The sequence below is a fragment of the Homo sapiens genome, chromosome 2, assembly GCF_000001405.40.
Source record: "Homo sapiens chromosome 2, GRCh38.p14 Primary Assembly".
In the NCBI taxonomy this organism is placed as follows: domain Eukaryota; kingdom Metazoa; phylum Chordata; class Mammalia; order Primates; family Hominidae; genus Homo; species Homo sapiens.
Window position 1 is genome coordinate 216412701 of NC_000002.12, and position 21246 is coordinate 216433946.

General features: G+C 45.0%; 1 protein-coding gene across 2 annotated transcripts in view, besides 1 other annotated feature; it reads left to right on the plus strand.

Moving 5' to 3' along the window:
* SMARCAL1 (SNF2 related chromatin remodeling annealing helicase 1) overlaps nucleotides 1–21246 on the plus strand; it is a 70570-nt gene that overhangs the window by 217 nt on the left and 49107 nt on the right. Inside the window, exons 1-8 of one of the 2 annotated variants that reach the window (NM_001127207.2) lie at nucleotides 65–98; nucleotides 1156–1192; nucleotides 1947–2815; nucleotides 3557–3607; nucleotides 7599–7832; nucleotides 10933–10983; nucleotides 15896–16082; nucleotides 20018–20168. In NM_001127207.2, coding sequence (NP_001120679.1) covers nucleotides 2005–2815; nucleotides 3557–3607; nucleotides 7599–7832; nucleotides 10933–10983; nucleotides 15896–16082; nucleotides 20018–20168 — 1485 coding nt within the window. In that variant the 5' untranslated portion in view covers nucleotides 65–98; nucleotides 1156–1192; nucleotides 1947–2004. Of the gene's footprint in view, nucleotides 1–64; nucleotides 99–1155; nucleotides 1193–1946; nucleotides 2816–3556; nucleotides 3608–7598; nucleotides 7833–10932; nucleotides 10984–15895; nucleotides 16083–20017; nucleotides 20169–21246 lie in introns of those variants that run through there. The other variant, NM_014140.4, reaches the window with a different exon arrangement.
* Nucleotides 5054–5113: an enhancer, noted in NCBI's record as "active region_17096". NCBI's record gives its function as "activates an Ori minimal core promoter by ATAC-STARR-seq in GM12878 lymphoblastoid cells {active_cell/tissue: GM12878}" and the evidence as "EXISTENCE:reporter gene assay evidence [ECO:0000049][PMID:35858748]".

Here is a 21246-nt window from a genome sequence, read left to right on the forward strand (position 1 = left end):
CCAGCCTGGAGGAGGAAGTGGGCCAATGGGAAGGGTGAATCCAAGTGGAGATCGTAGGGGTGGGAGTGGGGCGTGGCGCCCGCTTACCTTGAGGCTGGGTGAGGCTCGCCCCGAAATGCGGGGCGTGGGGGGCGGGGGGCAGAGGTCCCTGCCTAGAGGGGAAGAGGGGCGTCCATGTGGCGGAATGGATTTATGGTTTGGGGCTGATCAGTGGGTCTTATGGCCGAGTCTCTCTGGTTAGTGGAGACAGCTTACCAGGCCTGGGATCTGGGGAGTTTGGAGGTGCAGGAGATCCCTGGTTGGAAACTTAGGCAGGAGTGTGTTACCCAGAGAGACTGAGGGCTTCTGCTGTGCACCTCCAAAACCTTTTCCTAACCTCTTCACCCCTTCCTAACTGCTAATGGTTGGAGAAGGTGGAAGTTCTCTGGGGATAGATACTTCGTGGTGGGGGAGGGGGGAGGGGGGTTGGGTTCTGGCCAAAGGGAGCCCCAGCAGGGAAGGAAGGCTTTGAACCCTATAGCTGCCCAGAGGCCTAAGCAATGCTACTGGAGTACCCCTACATCATCATTGTAACCGTTACACAGCATTACATTAGATGCAGCCTATTTAGTCTGAACCAAGCCAGACAAATTGGTGTGTCCTGCCCGCTGCTTCTAAAATATTGTAAACATGTCTCAGCTCATAGGAAAATAAATGTTCCGGGTAAATTCATGGAAAAAAATAATCAGGGTGCAATATGGAATGTTTACAATGATCCTACTTTATAATAAATTCTTATATCTCCTAAATATGTGCCATTTTGTTATGGATGAAAAAAAATCCGAACTATATACTCTAAATTATTAATTTCAACTGTGGTTATTGATGGCTGGTAAGATTACAGAGTAATTTTATTCTTTTTTGTTTACATCTTTATGTAGCATCTTAATTTGCACAGTGAACACATAATTTTTTTTTTTCTGCTCCTTATTTTCCCAGGAGAGTCAGTCAGTTGCTCCGTGTGTTGTGTTGGAAGTCAGGTCCTAAGGCCAGCTGCTCTGGCTTGCACTGAGCCACAGGCAGACTGATTTGCCAGGAATGATAAAAAGGGGTGAATGTGAGGGGAGAATTCAGTGTGCAGGCTATGGGAGGCTAATGCTTTTTTCCTTCTTCTAGGTTGGAAAAAGACTATGTTAGCAAGTGTCACGCCATGGTATGTGGTTGGTTGGTCTATTTCAGTCTAATCTATTATGCTTTCTGGTTAAAAATGTCACCTTTCTCATTATCTGATGGATTTACGTTGCAATGCATAACTTTCTTAGGTTCTGATAACTCACCTTGGCTGGGCCATGTGAGTTATCAGAAGAGTTACTCACCATTTTGGCAGTGCTTCGAACCATTGAGTTACCATGTGAGTTACCATGTGAGAAGGAGAGAAATATTGCCTCTGAAATGCCTTTTTAGCTTTGGATTTGCTTTTTGCTTTTTTTTTTTTCTTTGAGAGTTTTGTTCTTGTTGCCCAGGCTGGAGTGCGGTGGCACGATCTTGGCTTACTGCAACCTCTGCCTCCCAGGTTCAAGCAATTCTCCTGCCTCAGCCTCCCAAGTAGCTGGGATTACAGGCGTGCACCACCACGCCTGGCTAATTTTGTATTTTTAGTAGAGATGGGGTTTCACCATGTTGGCCAGGCTGGTCTCAAACTCCTGACCTCAAGTGATCCACCTGCCTCAGCTTCCCAAAGTGCTGGGATTACACCCGACCTGCTTTTTGCTTTTTGATCAGGGTCTTTATTTCAGCATATGCTGCCTACTATTTCAGTGTGTGTGCAATTATAAAAGAAACTTTAATACATCCTTTAGTTGTGCTCATTATGCATTTTCTGGGACAAAAGCTTGTTAAAATCATGGTTGGAGTATGACAATTAATACATGTAATGTTCATTTCATTCTTCTTACTTTCTTCCACAGCTTTTGCCAACTTTCCAATTAAAGGTTGACATTCCTGCATAAGCATTTCTCTGTGAAAATGTCCTTGCCTCTTACAGAGGAGCAGAGGAAAAAGATTGAAGAGAATCGACAAAAGGCTCTGGCCCGCAGAGCTGAGAAGTTATTGGCAGAACAGCATCAGAGGACTAGCTCGGGCACCTCCATTGCTGGCAACCCATTCCAGGCCAAGCAAGGCCCATCCCAAAATTTCCCAAGGGAGTCTTGTAAGCCAGTGAGCCATGGTGTCATTTTCAAGCAACAGAATCTCAGTAGCTCATCTAATGCTGACCAAAGACCTCATGATTCCCACAGTTTTCAGGCAAAGGGAATATGGAAAAAGCCAGAAGAAATGCCCACAGCCTGCCCAGGCCACAGTCCACGTAGTCAAATGGCTCTCACTGGAATCTCTCCTCCCTTGGCACAAAGTCCTCCAGAGGTCCCTAAACAACAGCTCTTGAGTTATGAGTTAGGTCAAGGTCATGCTCAGGCTTCACCTGAGATCAGGTTCACACCCTTTGCTAACCCAACTCATAAGCCTCTGGCCAAACCAAAGAGTTCCCAAGAGACACCAGCTCATTCCTCTGGACAGCCTCCCAGGGATGCTAAGTTAGAGGCCAAGACAGCAAAAGCCTCCCCTTCGGGGCAGAACATTTCTTACATCCATTCTAGCTCAGAGAGTGTAACGCCCAGGACAGAAGGAAGACTCCAGCAGAAGTCAGGGTCCTCAGTCCAAAAAGGAGTGAACTCTCAGAAGGGAAAGTGCGTAAGGAACGGCGATCGTTTCCAGGTGTTGATTGGGTACAATGCGGAACTCATTGCAGTGTTTAAGACCCTGCCCAGCAAGAATTATGGTAATGTCTTCATTTTTCAGCTGTTTTTTTTTTTTTTTCTTATTTTTGGAGTCTCTTTTAATCTAACAGTTTCTCATAAATATTAAGAGAGTGCATTGGCACATGCTGTCCATCCAGTTGTTAAAAATTTTTCAATTTTAGCTTGTTTCCCTTCATAATAGTCATTCCCTTAAACAGCTGCCAAACTTGATGGTTGTCACGTGGCCATCTGGAGAACAGTTGAATGTTACTGAGAAGACGCTTCCTCTGCCAGGTGCTTTATATGCATTGTAGCACTTAAGCTGAACAGCAGTTTTTTTGAAATAAGTAGATGTTATTTTAGTTTTTAAGGTGATGGAACTGGCCCAGCAAGATTAAGTGACAGGCCCAGTTTCATTGGTCTGGAAAGGCAGCGTCAGGATGTGACTAGCTCAATTACAGGCCAGAGCCATTACTCCTCATACTGCTTTGCCTGACCACACTACGACCTGGAGAACTTGGATTCTAGTCCTAACTCTGCCCTCAGTCCTCTTAGGTGAAGTTCATAACTTCCCAGGGCCTGAGTTGGATTCCACTACATGGAATAAAAGAATTATCTATATTTACTATTTGTCCTCTACAGAGATTTTTATAGATCAGTGGGGGCTTGCTGGTCAGCTGTTTTGAACTTGGCGTCCTTCATTCATTCATTTAGAAGACAAGCTTGTGTTGAGTGCCTAAGTACAAATTGTCAACAGTCATCAGTCCTCTGTTTTGTTTCAGATCCTGACACCAAGACGTGGAACTTCAGCATGAATGACTATAGTGCCCTGAGTAAGTAGACACATGGTTGTCTCATGGAGGGTGGCACTGGTGCTGAAAATCTTTAGAGTATCACATGTAGTCCAGCTTATGGAGTGCATGGCTTTACAGGTGGTGAAAGCTTTCAGGGCACCCCCCCCAACACTCCTTCCCACTCTGTCTAGCCTAATGAGGCAGCTCTGTGGGTGAAGGCCGTTAGTAGTATTAACAAAAGCTAGCATTAAATGATGCTTGCTTTGCATTAGGCTATTCTAAGCCCCTTATGCTAACTTTTATTCCTTATAATGACTTTTTTACAGATGGGGAAACTGAGGCCCAGGGACGATGAGTCAGTAACACAGGGTCACATAGCCAATAAGTTGTACAACTGGGATTCAAACCCTGACAGTCTGACTTCAGACTACACGTTCCCACCAGACTATGCTGGCCCCAGCAGTGACAGGCAGCTCAGGCAGCCTGCCAGCCCCTGCTCCCAGGAAGGTAACAGTTCAGCAAACAGCACAGATCCTCAGAGTACTCTCTGTGCAGCTAACTACTCAAAAATGCAAGGAGGGGGCATTGGCCAGGCAAGTTCCAGCTAATGCAGTGTCTGGTCATAGTCAGCACCTGGTTACGTCCCTCTGTCTTCTGAGAAAACTGTCATACACTAAAGTTTTTGTCACTTGATCCTGGTACATGGAGCTTGCACACCTGTGTCAAAGCGTCAGCCCTGTGTGTTTTCATCTTCCATTTATTTTACTCTTCTCCCCCAGCTGCCATTTCTACACCGTCTCTTCCTCCCCCTAGCTTAAGAAAGGAAAAGATAAGGATGTATGCTTAGGTCACTTTGCAGATTTGGGGTATGAGGTAGGATTATCTGGAGGCACCAGTACAGTTTCTGGGAAAGGTGGTTTGGGCCAGTGATGGGACAGCTCCCTGCAGAATTTCCTGGTTTTCTCCTTGGCCTCCAATTCTTGAAATGTGTACATTAGGCGATATCTTTCTTTGGTAGCTGCTAGTGTTGTTAGTTTGCGAGGGCTGCCGTGACAAAGTACCACTGACTGGGTGGCTTAAACAATACAAATTTATTTTTTACAGTCCTGGAGGCTGGAAGCCTGAGATTGGTAGGGTTGGTTTCTTCAGAGGCCTCTCTCCATGCCCTGCAGGTGGCTGTCTTCTCTCTGTGTCCTTGTTTGGATTTTCCTTTGTGTGTGCAAATCCCTAGGGTCTCTCCCTTTTCTTAGAAGAACACCAGTCATTGGATTATCGCCCACCTTGGTGACCTCATTTAACTTATTAACCTCTTTAAAGGCCCTATCTCCATATACAATCACATTCTGAGGTCCTGGGCTGTGTGTTTAACATGAATTTTGGAGGGACACAATTCAACCCATAACGCTGCTGCTGCTAGCTCCGTCTAGTGAGGGCTCATTTTTTAATCGATTTATTTGGTGTTGGAACGGGGAGACCCAAGGCTCTGGATAAAGATTGCAGATTTTGACACCTGGTATTCTCATTGCTGGTGATCTTAAACCAGTGGTTTCCCCTGTTGCGGTTGTTTTGTCTTTTTACTCTTGTTCTGACCACGGTGCATGGTGACTTAGATGACTTCTGCTTTTGCAGATTCATTTAGGTTTTTTGTGTGATATCGTTACTTTTTTTTTGAGACAGAGTCTCACTCTGTCGCCCAGGCTGGAGTGCAGTGGTGCGATCTTGGCTCCCTGCAACCTCTGGCTTCCGGGTTCAAGTGATTCTCCTGCCTCAGCCTCCTGAGTAGCTGGGATTTCAGGCGTGTACCATGCCTGGCTAATTTTTATATTTTTAGTAGAGATGGGGCTTCCTCCATGTTGGCCAGGCTGGTCTTGAACCCCTGACCTCAGGTGATCTACCTGCCTCAGCCTCTAAAACTGTTGGGATTATAGATGTGAGACACTGTGCCCGACTATCATTGCTTTGTGTAATGCTCCACATGTTTTGAAAACCATGTTTATTGGATACAAAATTCTCCATATATACTTCTCAATGAAGCTCATAGAAGAGAAAAAAAATTCTCCATATAGCTTTCAGATGAATTTTTCTAATTGTTTGGCTCCTCTGCATCTTTACCAATGTGTTACACACTTGAGCTTTTGCCTGCTGAGATAAACCTTGAAATTCCTTGCCATAATTATGGATTTGTGAATTTCTCCTTGTATTTCTAAGTTTCAGATAGGTTCATGATTGTGTCTCATGATTGGCTTTTTATTGGTATAACATATAAAATTGTCTCTGTGTCAGTCTTTCTGTCATTTTGCTTTAGGTATATCTCTGGATTTGGCTTCATTAACCCTACCACATACTCACTGTAGAACATATTTTGACGTGTGAAGAAGAAAAACCATCCCCCGTAATCTCCCCACTCAACTAACCATTATTAACATTTTGGTTTCATTCCCTCCAGCCTTTTTTCTATGCGTTAAAATATAAAGTTTTATATATGCATATAATTTGTATTTTGCCCTTTTAATTTAATACTCCAGCATAAAGCATATTTACTTTACTGAATGTTAACAGTTAATTCTAAGTGATGAAAATGTGTCCATTATCATAATGGGCCATTTTGACCTTCAAGAAATGGTTTCGTGTTGTTGAACTACTTTTGTCTTTTCCAGAATTTTTAATACAAAATAAATTTTGATAGCTGTATAACATTCTGTCTTATGAATGTGTCATACATTGCTTAAATTGTTGTTGTTTATTTTTTCCTGCTTGATTTTAATTGGCTGCCAGTTTTTCCAGTTTTAAAGCTGTAGAGGAACACCTTCGTACCTAAGTTTTTGTCTGTATTTTCAACTGGTAGTTGGGATAGATTCCCAGAAGTTGAATCATTATTCTTAGAGCTCTTGCTATAATTGCCAAATTGTTTTCCAGCAGGTTTTATTCCCAACTAGCAATATGGATATCTAATTGTTTCTCATCCTGCAAGTTTGAGAAGTAAAAAAGTATCTTATTTTTCTGATTATTTGTGAAGGTGAACATTTCTTCAAATGTTTCTTAGTCTTTTTCCTCCTGTTTTGAATTGGCTACACTACCCTCTTCTTTTGTGGTCTTAGTACTTTTTTAAAGCATGGGTTCTTTTTATATTTCTTTACTCAGGGTTTTTTTCCTTTCACTCCAGTGTGTGTCTGTTGACAGCTTAGTGTTACACAGCTGAATTTGTTCATTATAAAATGCATCTGTAGTAGATGAAATAATGTTCAGAACTGTGTGTTTGTGACCTGGTGATCCTGGTCCTCACTCCTTTGTTCTCTGAGCAGTAGACAGAGTAGCGACCTAGGAGTGGGCTTAACTGGGTGATTTGTGGTGTGCTGACTTCAGTGGCTTCTCCGACACCGTGCCAGAAATTATCTAATAAGTTTATTCATCCTGGCGAGCTTCCTCTTCCCCTTGTTAATTTCTGAATTTTAAATGTTTTGATGTGAAAAATGTAGGGAGGCCAGGTATGGTGCCTGATGCCTGTAATACCAGCACTTCGGGAGGCTAAGGTGCGTAGATGGTTTGAGCTTAGGGATTTGATACCAGCCTGGGCAACATAGCGAAACCCTGACTCTACAAAAAATACGAAAACTAACCGCATGTGGTGGTGCACGCCTGTAGTCCCAGCTACTGGGGAGTCTGAGGTGGAGGATAACTTGAGCCAGGGAGGTTGAGGCTGCAGTGAGCCATGATCACGGCACTGCACTCCAGCCTAGGTGACAGAGCAAGACCCCGTCTCAAAAAAAAAAAAAAAAAAAGAAAAAAAAAAAAGAAAAACTTACGGAGATGGAAAGTTACATTCAGCAAATATTGAAATTCCCAAAGCCCCAACTAAAAAACACTTTCAAGTCTTCCTAATCTAACAGTGCCTTTTCTTGCCTTCCTGCCAAACCTAGTGCCTCTTGACCATGTCCCTTCCCCACTTTCTCCCTCTTCCCTTGCCTGTATTTCAAAGCCACATCATAGTCCCCTGCTTTATCACTTCTGTTCGATTCTTCTTCTTTGGCAGTGAAAGCAGCCCAGAGCCTCCCCACGGTCAACCTGCAGCCTCTGGAATGGGCCTATGGCAGCAGCGAGTCACCCTCCACCAGCAGTGAGGGACAGGCCGGCCTTCCATCAGCTCCATCCCTTTCATTTGTCAAAGGGCGATGCATGCTCATCTCCAGGGCCTACTTCGAGGCAGACATCAGTTATTCACAGGACCTTATTGCGCTTTTTAAACAGATGGATTCCAGAAGATATGGCAAGTAATTGGTCTTTGTCTGATTCCCAGAATGTGTAGTGGTCTGTGATCTCAACATAGGGTGTTTTTCTCTACCTCGAATATTCAAAAATTACTTTCTTGGGAAAGACTTCCTGTTCTGCTCCTCTTCCTATAGAAAGATGACACGTTAATTGTTCCAGATAGTAAACATACAGTGGTGGCTGTTTTGTCATAAGGCCTCCCAAAGAGAAGACCTCATAATATCCCCCTGGTCAATATCTTCTTGGTAGAAGCAGGTAAATTCCTGCTTCAGCCATTTAAAACCCATCTGTTTTTATTTTGGCCTTTGCAGAGCAGAAAAACAGGTGGTTGCCATAAAAATAAATGCTTTTCCATATGCAAACTTAGTAGTTTTCAAACTTGAGCCTGCAGGGAACTGCCTGCAGGGGTTGTTAAAACGCAGCTAGCTGGGCCCCACTACTGGAGTTTCTGATTCTGGAACTTGAGCATGGAGCCAAACTTTTGCGTTTCTCACAAGTTCCCTGAGCTGGTGCTGCTGCTGGTGATGGTGCCACAGTTTGAAAATGCTGGTGGTTCTGCTCTCGGCCTGCCCATCAGCATCACAGGGCCACTTCAAAAGCACCGATGCCTGGTTCTTACCCAGAGATGTTTATTTTGTCGGAGGTGGGGCTTGGACATTGTCGGGGTGTTTTTTGTTTGTTTTGGTTTTTTTAATCTTCCGATAAGCCTAATTATAAGCCAGTCTTGAAATCTACTGGCCACAACAGAATAGTTTTGCTGTATTTTATTTTATTTATTTTTGAGATGAAGTTTCACTCTGTTGCCCAGGCTGGAGTGCAGTGGCGCAATCTTGGCTCACCGCAACCTCTGCCTCCCGGGTTCAAGTGATTTTCCTGCCTCAGCCTCCCGAGTAGCAGGGACTACAGGCACCTGCCACCACACTGGGCTAATTTTTGTATTTTTAGTAGAAGTAAGGTTTCATCATGTTGGCCAGGCTTGTCTCGAACTTCTTCGCCCACCTTGGCCTCCCAAAATGCTGGGATTAATTACAGGCATGAGCCACCGTGCCTGGCCGTTTTGCTTTAGTTTTTCATGAGGTTCTTCATAAGCTCCCCCTTCAGAATAGGGGAGAAGCAGCTATAGATTCTGGACTCCTGGGTGTCATTCTCAGCTTGGGCCACATTGTTTTTTAAAAACGATGTAGTTTTTATGGATCAGTGTTTCCCCATTCTTGAATTGGTTTAATCTTGTTCTTAATCAAGTAGAACTCAAATACTTAAAACCTCATGCCTTTGAGACCTCACATTCAAGCATTGTCCTGGAAGAAGCCTCTAGAATTGCTTGCTTAACAAGAGCTTTCATCAGGGTTTGGGTTCCGGAGGAGGCTGATGCTGGTTGCTACGTCATCATCCTTAGATGGATGCAGTTTGGACTGATGAGGGCAGACGGGTGAGCAGGGCACAGGGGAGTTGTGCGAGGCCCAGGCAGGTCGTGAGATGAGCTGCTCCACGACAGTCTAGATCCTTTGCCTTTCCTGCCCCCTCAGGTGTTTGGCTTCAGCTTGGGGTGGCCCTTAAAAGGCAACTACGGGCCGGGTGTTGTGGCCTGTAATCCCAGCAGTTTGGGAGGCCAAGGTGGGTGGATCACCTGAGGTCACAGGAGTTCGAGACCAGCCTGGCCAACATGGTGAAACCCTGTCTACTAAAAATACAAAAACTAGCCAGGCGTGGTGGTGCCATCCTGTAATCCCAACTACTCAGGAGGCTGAGGCAGGAGAATCCCTTGAGCCTGGGATGCAGAGGTTGCAGTGAGCCTAGATCGCACCACTGCACTCCAGCCTGGGTGACAATCTCAAAAATAAAAAAGGCAAATACAGTGATATGTGTCTATCACCAGCCTGTGAGATCACACTCCTGACATGGTCTGCATTCTGGGAGTGGGTACCATGAAGGTATGGATACTGATCCTGCTCACACCCAGGTGTCCAAAAACCGTGATTGGTTCCTTTGCCTTAGCTGTTGTTCACATCTTTTCCTGTTTGCTGCTGTGCCACTGTGAGAATCAAGTTGTCAGAAAGGGCCTTCCCCTTCTAGTTCTGCATTTACGATTAGTCTGTCTGCTTTGTTCCTTCCATCAGGTTGTACCTGGACGACCTCGCTTTTTCCTGAAACTGACTCTGTGTCCATGATGCCTTTTTCTGACCACCTTGCTTTTGAAGGAATCATACAGTGAAGAATGAACTTTTGCTGCCCAGATAGCATTTACTGAGACCAAGCTTTCTTGATTTTTCAAAAGATAGATTAGTAGAGAAATTCCTCTATTTAAAGAATCAGCCACCATTGGGTAGAAAGATGCTCACCTTTCTTAGTTGATATTGTGTGTAATTTATACTACACGATGCTGATTAGCAGATGATGTAATAATCCCACTAACAATAATTCATAATAACTGGCTTTGGGGTGCTCATTGTTTTCCAGTCATACTTTTATAAGCATTTTCCTTTAATTTCATGTAAACAGTAACCTGTGAGGTAGGGGTTGTAATATCTTTATTTTTCAGATGTGGAAACTGAGGGAGAGGTGTTACAGTGACTTGCCCAAGGTGACATAGCTAGCAAGAGGCAGAGCCAAAATTGAAACTTTGGCAGTTTGACCACTGACCACATGCAACTTGTTTCCCATGTGTAAAATGGAGTTAACAACAGCCCACCTTACAGACTTGGGAGGGGCAGATGAGAGGGTGCCACTGAGTGTTGGCACAGTGCCGGGCTGAATGCGAATGCTGCATAGGTGTGAGCTACAGTTACCATCCCTGTCACTCAGGGCATTTCTGACCTGCTAGACCCTCCCCAGCCATGTATCCTGTGGCACCTTTTATCACAACCCTTACAACCCAGTGTTGTCAGCATCTCTGCCTCTTTTTCCTCCCAGTATACTGGGGAAGCCTCCAGGGAAAGTACTCTCCTAATTTCTGTATCCGCAGTGCTAGGTACAGGACCAGCTGCCACATTGTCTAAGCTGAATGGAAGTTTATGAAACCAAGGAATAAATGAGTAAGTGTGATCACGTAGCAGAAGGGCAGGGTGTCCTATTTGCTTATTTATTTCTTGTCATTGCAGATGTCAAGACCAGGAAGTGGAGCTTTCTCTTGGAAGAGCACAGTAAACTAAGTGAGAAGCCTTCCTTACTTGTTTTATATCATGCTATTGTTAAGCTTTAATAATTCACCTTAAATTTGATGTATTTTTGAAGAATCTTCTCCTCCCTTTGCTGTGGTGGGATGCTTGAGTACAGGGTAAGTAAAGGTGAGGATGCAGCCTTGTCCACATCCACTGAGATGGTGGCTTTATGACAGCCCAGACAAATGCCGGGCCTCTTCTATCATAAGGGTGAGGTGGCAGTAGTGAAATTTCCCAGGCCTGTGAAATCTTCCTGCTGTCATAGAAGTGCTAGAAGCATGGGTACATAGACTTTAGGAATCAGAAGTGAGCTAGGATTGCTTAGCTTAGGTGGAAGTGACCATAGATTACTTCTAAGAATAGGCTCTCAGTGTACTTCTAGAACTGGATGGGATGATCAAGAAAGATAGGAGAGTATCACTGGGAATGGACTTCATAATAGAGTTCTGTTTGGGGCAGAAGTCAAGGCCAGGGACTTAGGCATTTTAACAAGCACTTTACAGACTGACCAAGGAAAAGGGATATGTGTACAGATAGCATAAGTGCAAGAAGAGGAAGCCATTTTGGGTTTATCATTTTTCTTCTCTGTGTTTTGCTTAGATGGGGCAATAAATTCTAATATGCCTGGAAAAAGGAAATATGGTCATATCTCAGACTGTACCAGAATACCAGTCCCTTATCTATCTGGCTGTAACAATTCTGCATTGGGTTTGCAGCTAGCATGGCTTATGTTCCTCTGCTTTTCTCCTAATCCTGATGGCCTGTTGGGCCTCCCAAACCAAGGAAGGAGTCATTTGTGGGTACCAATCAGGCCAGGACAGACACGAGCCAACCCTGGGAGCTCTGAGTCATTGGCCATCTTCCCTGGCAGGCTAGGGCTTCAATGTGAGGGAAAAACTGGGTTCCTTCCTTTTGTCTCCTTCTTATGTGACTTACTATGTGACATTGGGTAAATAATTAAACATTCTGGGTCCCATTGTCCCTTTAGTAAAAAAAGCGGTGGTCTTTAATCTCTATCTGCTCTCCTGACATAGGAATTAAATATAAAGGAAGAGCCTTTGGTTCCTTGAGCAAAACTTGCTGTGAACTACATGATTACGTTTGAATATGAGATGGTAACTTAATAAATGCTGGCTGAAGCAGAAAGAATGGCTCACGGTGATCTTGAGACTCTCTGGCTGCTACTATTTGGAACTTGTGATTTAGAGGGAATTATTTGGCAAAATCTGAATTTTTTTTTCTTTTTGAGGCAGGGTCTCGCTGTCACCCAGGCTGGAGTGCAGTGGCATGATCTCAGCTCACTGCAACCTCTGCCTCCCAGGCTCAAGCGATTGTCCTGTTTCAGCCTCCCAAGTAGCTGTACACAGAATCCTTTTGGTGCCACTTTGCCAGCTGGGCTTGCCACTGGGCTTGCTTTGCCCACTCGACCTGGCAGGCTGCGCTCGGCTCACGCTACCAGTCCAGATTCCACACCCACTGAGGGCGAGCTAGGCATGGAGCAGCAGAGGGTTTGTGAGCAAGTGAGTGTAGAGTCTGGCCACAGCACATAGCCAGGTGCGCCAGCTGCTGCAGCAGAGCGGGCAGCTCCAGACTGTGGCACAGGCACCAGCTCTGTATGAGGCTGCAGCTGGACTAGGCATACCACAAGCAGCTTCTGCCTTGGGCACCAGCGGCTGGATGATGGGAATGTGCTGGTGCCTGAAAACTTGAAGACACCAGCAACCATGGAGCCCTAAGGGGGTGTTACAGCATGTTACAGCTCTGGCCGAGGGAGTCCCAAGGTCTGGGCTCCCAGAAAGGTTGCCACTCTTCACTCCTGTGGTTCGGCAGACAGGAGCATGTCACTGCCTGCAGCTTGGCGAGCAGACCAAGAATGTGTTATAGCCCTTTTCTCACCTGCCATTCAGCGGGTCCCAGATTCTTGTCCTGCGTCCAAGAAGAATGAGGTTACATGAACAACTGGAGAGTGAGCAAGGCAGAGAAGGGTTTTATTGAGCAACAGAACAGCTCTTAGTGGAGAGGGGACCCAAAGTGGGTAGTCCCAACATGTGGCTGAGTCCAGGGTTTTTATGGGCTCAGAATGGGGGTGTGTGTGCTGATTGGTCCATAGGCAGGCCTGGAAAAAGCACCATTCGATTGGCTAAAAGGCATTGAGGAAGTTCTTATTCTGGGTTGTGGACTCCACCTGGAACTGACAGCCTGGTTTTCAGGTTTCAGTCTGTCTTTGGCTTAAAGGTTGGGTTTCACTGTGGACCCACCCCTGTCTGCCTAGGAAGTTGTCTGCCTCCTGCTGTTATCAGCTGGAATTATAGGCGCATATCCCCATGGCCGGCTAATTTTTGTATTTTTAGTAGAGATGGGGTTTTGCCATGTTGGCCAGGCTGGTCTTGAACTCCTGGCCTCAAGTGATCCTCCCACCTTGGCCTCCCAAAGTGCTGGGATTACAGGCGTGAGCCACCGTGCCCAGCCACAAAAGCTGAATTTTTTAAGAAAAATAGAAGTGAGTTCTTTCCTTCTCGCTTTTGTCTTTCAACCAGGAAACACACACATGTTAGCTATAAAGTCTTTGACTTTTATGGAATGACAAAAAGCAGGACATTTACAGCATTAGTAGATAAATGTAGTGTTGAAAAACCATGACTTGTGACTCACATAGCATTGTAGAGTGGTTCCTGATCTTTTGCAGACAACAGACTCCTTGAAATATCTGATGAAAAGAATGGATTCTTCACCCAGAAAAAAATGCACATAATGGCCACAAATAAGATTTTGCACTTGATAAAGATGATTCCATAGATCCTGAGTGAAGATTCTAGATTTAGAGTTTTTACCTGCTATCTCATCATGACAGTGTCTCACGGAAGATAAGACTGAGAAAAGGTTGGGCCCAGAGAAGGGAAACAGTGGCTTTCCTTACTGGGAGCATTGCAAGGTTACAGTAAAGTCAGTGACAGAAATAAGAGTAAAATTGCCATCTGCCTTTGTAAAATGACCCATTATGGAATTTAGAAGCCAGCTAAACTAAGAAGCTGGGAGTGGAAGCAGTGAGAATAGAGCCCAGTTCCAATTTAGTTCTGATTTCTCCGCCAGTACTGTGAACCTGGGGAATGCGCACCTCCTTCCTCACCCCATGCTGTCCTTCCTCATGAGTGAAATTAGATCGATGACCCTGAGTTAGTGAACGTGTGCATAGGAAACTGATGAAGAAATGACAATAAGACCTGAGTACGTGAATGCTCATTGGTGAAGCAGTGGGAGTTATTTTCTTTAGTAAGGAGAATCTAAGCTTTCCTCCTCTCTCTTTTCTAAGTGACTCAGGCCTTTTGCCCCCAGTGAAATTGGCATAAGTCCTTTTGTTTTCCCCTTGCTGTCAGTCCAGAAGGGTTCTCAACAATCTTGTCTTGTTAGCTGCTATTTGAAAACATTAGCATCTCTGCTATGTGGCTAGTAGCATTCTGGCAAAGAGCTATTTTACAGAAATGACTTCTAGATGACTCACGAAGCCGACAACACGTCTGTCATCTCCTAGTACCAGGGAAAGGACAGTAGAGACAGTCGTTGTCAGGGAATGGTGTCTTTCTCAGGAACACTGAGATGGCTGAACTAGCAGCATAGGATTTTGGAGACAGTAGTTGGTAGGAGACAGAGTAGATGTTGGTTTTATTCCTCTTAAATGGCCGAAGGAACATAACGCTTACAAAGCCCTGCCTTTTCTACCAGCCAGTTCATCAGCCCTTTCTTAGCTTTCATCAGGTATTTGAGTTCTGAAGATCACTAGAATTAAAATGAAAATGGTTTCTGAAAGCACAAGGAGTGCTCAGCCTCCTGAAGTGTGTAGAAATCAACATACTCAGATTTAATTTGGAGGTATAAAATGTATTTCTGCATCAATATGGACAGTCTGTTTTGTATTAATGCCATCAACCTTCCCTAATTTCTTCTCATGGTGATTATTTTTGTGGAAACTATTTCCAGAAATAACTGGTACTTATATTTAGTGGAGGAGAGAAATGGACTTAAATATATTGAAAATACAAAGCAATTGGAGGTAGCAGTAGATGGCTCAGCCCTGCACGTTCACATCAGTATTTACAGTGGTAACCAATTGATGGTTGTGGCAAAAGACTTTTGGAATCACTTGTGAGGGTATTCAGAAAACATATGATCACACATGTTTTATGTACGTGTATGAAATAGAGAACCAGCCTTAGGATTTCAAATAATATTGGATAGAAGTAAAATAATACCCAGTTTCTCTTTGTAGTTTCCTTTACTGGATACCGGAGGACGATTAGCCTTTTGGTGGGTTACTCTGACTCCCAGAGTGCCCTTGAAAAGGTAAAGGATAAAGAGCAATTGATGATCTGTAAATAATGGCTACTCTTCTAATTAGATTTTTCAAAGGAAAATTATAAAAGGGAAGAACATCCTGAAAGTGATAGCCTGCAGGACAGCAGGCTATGGTTAGTGATTTAACTGTAGTTCCACTGCCAGAGGTCTCTAGGTCTGTCATTTTTTCTCTGCATTTTTAATTTGTAATTCAGCCTCCTTCTCCCAAGAATTATGTGTTTTATTTATCTCTCCGGTTTATTCTTTTTCTGTTTCTCTATTGAATAAAGGGGTTTTTTCCCCTCTTTTTTGAAGTTTAAAATCAGGTGAGACTACATTCTTTCAAAAAGCAAGGTCAGTGCAATTCATTTGCTTTCATTTCCATGTAGATCCCAAGTAATTTATTTTTCCCATTTGGGTTAATGGTCCTGACTAGAAGAGATTTCTCCACCCATTATATAGGGACCTAGGACCAGCATCACTGGAAGGAAATATATATATCCCAAAGCTCCTCTTTCTCCAAATCTTTTGGGCATGAACACTCCAGCTCATATGCTTCTGTTCTTCTTTTCAGTTGCAAAGGTGCGCTGCCTCCCACAAGTTCAGCTGGACCCTCTGCCCACGACTCTCACCCTGGCGTTTGCTTCTCAGCTCAAGAAGACATCTCTCAGTCTCACGCCAGATGTCCCAGAGGCAGACCTTTCTGAAGTGGACCCCAAGCTCGTGTCTAATCTGATGCCCTTTCAGAGAGCTGGAGTCAAGTAGGTTCTTGATCTTCCTCTCTCTTCCTCTGTTGCTCAAATTTCATTACTCACCACAGACTGCATTCAGATGCTTCCTGTTTTATGAACTTTTATTTACCATGGATAGATGAAAATTTAGAAGAGTCTAGGCATTAAACAGCCAGGTGTGCTGTTACCAAAGCTTTATTGTAACCATTGATTTCAAATTCCATGGGTTAATCAAGACTCTGAATTGCAGCTATGCAGAAACCCAATTCAAATTAGCTTAAGGAAAGAGATTTCTCAGTGCCTGTAAGAGAAAATCCAGCATCTCTAAAGATCTCATCAGGCTGCTCTCCTCTCTCAGATCTGCTTTCTGTTTGTTTGCTCTGTTCCCAAGCAGGTGTTACTCAAGTGTGGCAGCTCGGGCCGCCAGGGGCTTCCAGCTTGCATTCTCAGCTTAGCAACACACAGAAGCACCATTTTTCTAATGGGGCTAACACTGCAATGGCTTAAGTCTGGTACCAATGTTGGAGCCAGTCTTTGTGGCCTTGGAGGCTTGAGGTCTTGTTGATTAGACTTGGTGATAGGCCTGTCCCTAGAACCAGAGGGTAAGGCCTGCCCACCTAAATTACTGGGATTGAAAGTGGGAGGTGGCAGTTCTCCAAAAGAAAGTCAAGGTGCTCTTATTAGAGGAAGAAAAAAGATAAACCTACATCCTGATCTTTCCTTTTTTTCCAGAGTTTCTTGGGAGAAGCAAAATGCCGTATTTGAACTAGCCTTCTCTTAAAAATATGGGAGTTCAAGGAGAAGAAAGAGGAAGTCTTGATAGTCTGTCTAGAAATAAGAAGCTGTTATTAGACAGTGTAGTTGAACATAGAGCCCTGTGCAAGGGAAGGAACCTAAATTAACAATGGCACTGACAAACCACAACAGCCTGCCTGCTCGAAGCCTGATTGTGGTATTTTGGTGAAAGCTTGGCTACCGTCTCTGGCAGGATTTGGGTCTCGGTGTGCCGTTTGGGCACAGTGCACTTTATTATGTTACCTGGCCCCAGCCCTTCCCCCTAATTCTTTTCTTCATTTCCTTCCATCTCTCTTACATAGCACACTCTGCAAAACCTCCTCTGGCATTGCCATTCCAATGCTCCAGCTGGTGAGATGTCCTTTGGGCCTTGTTTTAACCAGGCTCAGGGTGGTTTTTTCCTTTCATCTTTCTTTCTCTGGGCCTCTTTATTAAAGCTGCAGTAGAGGTTGCCCAGCCCCACCCCCTGGGCAGCCCCTGCCTTCAGCATCCAAGTTCTTCGTGGCACTGTTAGCCATCCTTGGGCCCACGTGTTGGGTGCTGGTTTTACCAGTTACCCCATTACCCCTGAGAGAGGCTCTGTGTGTGAGGCGCCCCAGGGCAGATCTGTTTCTCTCTCTGTGGCTCTAAAGTACTTGTAATCTTTCTTCAGAATTTTCTAAATAAACTCAGATTTTAACTTTCATAGTCTGAAGAGGTGGGGGTTTGGCATTGGGGGAGGAGGGCTGTCAATTCTATGTTTTGTTTTGTTTTCTTTAATGCAAGAACTACAATTGAACACACCCATTAATTTATAAAGCAAAATCTCTTAGAAATATCAGCATCTTCTAATATCCAAGTCACCCTCTTCAGCAGGTGAATGAATTGAGGCTTAGAAAGGCAGTCAGTTGCCTAAAGTTATTCAGCAGTCAGAAGTGGAGTTGGGGCTTAAATCTGTGTTTTCTGATTGATTAATTTCTGAGTATGACATTTTTTTCTATTGTATTCAACTGCCCTGTGGAGGATGACATTTACTTATGTTATTGTTCCTCTGTTATCCAGGCTTTTTCTGTCTTTGTTGTCATTTTTTGGCCACTTTGTTCCTTAGTTGGGCTCCCTCTAGGCAGGGGAAAAAGGAGAGAATGTGAAATTCAGGGGGTCCATTCTGCTCTAAGGATGCGGATAGACCAAACTTCTGGAAATTATAGATGGTAAAGCTGAGAAGGCTGAAACAAAAGACGCTCAAAGGGCGTGGGGCTCTCCATGGATTCCGTTGCTTAGGTACTGCCTGTCCTCGCTGGCCACCAATTTTGTAAATCAGAAAGTGAGGTAAAAAATACATCTTTTCACACCTGCCCTCCCCCCATCTGTCTGTGTTGTGGGTTGATCCCAGAAATGGTCCAGAAGATTTCATAGAGGTGGGTGTACAGGGAGGAGGCTGCGCCTGTTCTGGAGAGGTGAGGCAGCCCACTGCTCGGCTCCGTTCCTCCCCAGTGGAGGGTGAGGCCGCCAAAGCTGGGCTTTGGGAAGGGCTGCCCCCTCTCCTAGGCAGGCCCCCGCCCAGGCTGCAGGGAGAACAGAAGGGTGCCACGCCATGATGCCTGTTGTCCCCACACTCTACTGGCTTCGGGCTGCCTGGGGATTTGCTGCCCAGTTTTCCATCTTTGGAAACGGTGTTTCCAGGCAATTCAGAAAGGGCAAGTGCAGCCTAGACTTCTTGTCCGCCCTGCTAGCTGCTGATTAGAAGAGGTGACATTCTCTGTTTTCACTGTGTGAGAAGGAAAGAGAAAGAACTATCCCAGCGGCTTATTATCAGGATTCTGAGCAAATGATCTATTTTTCAGAGATTAGATGAAAGAAGACTAGTATTTGGCACAGAGGACCAGACATCTGGCACTTGGGATCCTTTTAGCTTTTCACTGTTTCATCATGCGACACGAGCAAGTCATTTTTACTGTTTGTGTTTTGATTCTTTTTCTTTTTGTGGAATAGTAGTTATGATAGAAGCACTTCCTTAGCACTTATGATGTTGCCAACCACTGTTTTCAGTATTAGCTTTATTAACCCTCCCACAGCTCCATGAGATAGGTACTGTTATTACTCCCTTCTTACTGCTGAGGGGGCTGAGGCATAGGGAGGTTAAATCATGTGCATGAAGGTGTACAGCTGCTGAGTGATGGAATTGGGACTCCAACCCCAGCCAATCTGGCTCTGAAATAGTGGAATACACCTTTATTCATGAACTATTAGCAAGGGATGCTGCACTTAAGGGCTTTAGGGTCCTGGAGGCTGCCATAGTGAAAAACTCAGTGCTGAGGTTGGTGCTTCCTGTTGGACAAGCACCCTTCCTCCCATCCTTTTCTCGCCTCTGTCCTCATTAGCAGCATCTTCTGTCTTTGCCAGCCCCTTTCTCTGCCTTTATGCATACTGAGTACTCTCTGATCTTCAGAAAGCCTTCTTTTCACCCTACCAGCTCTTCTTTCCTTCCTTCCTTTCTTTTTTTCTTTTTTTTCAGATGGAGTTTCGCTTTTGTTGCCCAGGCTGGAGTGCAATGGTGTGATCTCGGTTCATTGCAACCTCTGCCTCCCGGGTTCAAGCGATTCTCCTGCCTCAGCCTCCCAAGTAGCTGGGACTACGGGCATGTGCCTGTAGAGATGGGGTTTCACCATGTTGGTCAGGCTGGTGTCAAACTCCTGACCTCAGGTGATCCGCCCCACTCAGCCTCTCAAAGTGCTGGGATTACAGGCATGAGCCACCGCGCCCGACCCTTTCCTTCCTTTCAAGGCAGACTCTGGAGTGAGTAAGCATGCCCTCCTCAGTGCTAGTCCTGGACTCCCACCACCCTCCTCCATGTACGTCCCCTGTGCCCTGCCTACAGTGGGCCGAGGCAACTCCTCTCACTGGAAACTTCCTTCTTTGGCCTCCACGACCTAATCATCTTCCAGATCTTCTCCCTTTTGACCACATTCCACATTTTTCCTTTTTGGGCTTTCTCTCTCTCTCTCTCTCTTTTTTATTCTGCTCCCTATTTGGCCTATGTACCTTTCCTTCTGGGGAGCAAGTCTGGTGGTGGGCTGGGCCCGGGCTGGCCAGTGAAGTGGCCTTCACCCAGCAGTGCTGACCCACCGGACATGAGGGCAGATGAACTCATGCCCCGGGAAATGTGCCATCCTCACCTTGTCTGCCTTCAGTTTTGCCATAGCCAAAGGAGGCCGCCTGCTGCTCGCTGACGACATGGGCCTGGGGAAGACCATCCAAGCCATCTGCATCGCAGCCTTTTACCGGAAGGAGTGGCCGCTCCTGGTGGTGGTGCCATCCTCCGTGCGCTTCACCTGGGAGCAGGTTAATGGTCTTCAAATTGCAGTTTTCACAGAGAAGGTTTTCTTCAGTGTTAGAGTCATAAAATAATGGTTTGCAGACAGGGCCTAGGGATCTTTAAGGATCCTGTCTCAAGTAAAGGCAAAGGCAGGAAGAGAGATGAGATGCCACCTGAGGGCAGGCTGGGGGTTTTCTGGATTAGAATCAGGTTACACCTTGAGGGAAGAAAGCCAAGGAGAAACCGGCTTAGAGACTTGTGTTCATCTGTCAGCAGGCACTTCTGGGACCTCTGTGCCCTGCTAATAATACTTTTCATCTGTACCACACTTAATTTTTTTTTATTTTTCTTTTTTATTGTTTTTTAAAATTTTTATTTATTTTGAAACTGGATTATGAGACTGGCTAGTTTTTGTACTTTTTGTAAAGATGAGGTTTTGCCATGTTGCCCAGGCTGGTCCCAAACTCCTGGGTTCAAGTGATCCACCTGTCTTGGCCTCCCAAAGTGCTGGGATTACAGGAGCCACTGTGCCCGGCCCACACTTAATTTTTAAAATATTTTTACCTCCTGTATTTTCCTCAATCCCATGACAGTCCTGTGCAGTAGGTACAATAGATAGTAACCCCATTTATAGATGAGAAAATGGAATCTCAGAGGTTAAGCTCCATGCTTCCTCTTAATGAGGAGCCCTGGCGGATCTTGATGTGGCATCTTCTGACTTCCCAACTCAGGGGTTTTGCACTCTGTAGAGGGGGGAGTGAGTGGGATGTTCACTGTCTGCCAGGTAGCTTTATGGATCCAGAGCCTGACAAGAAAACTGTATCACTCACCCTTGAGCTTTTTTTGCTGTAAATCCAGGAATCAGAGTGCTTTTGTGAAATGAATAAAAAGCCCATGAACAAACTCAGTGAAGAAGGAAGACCTGGTCCATCGTCCACAGCTTTTTCTAGCTTTATGCCACTGACGTCAGCCTGGGACTTCTTCCTGAGGCCTCCATGAGCCATTCATGCAGAAGAGGCAGCTCCTCCTACTGCCGGTCAGTCCAAGGCCCAGATGTGCTATTCTGACCGAAGAGATGGCAAAAAAAAAAAACACTAAAAAATG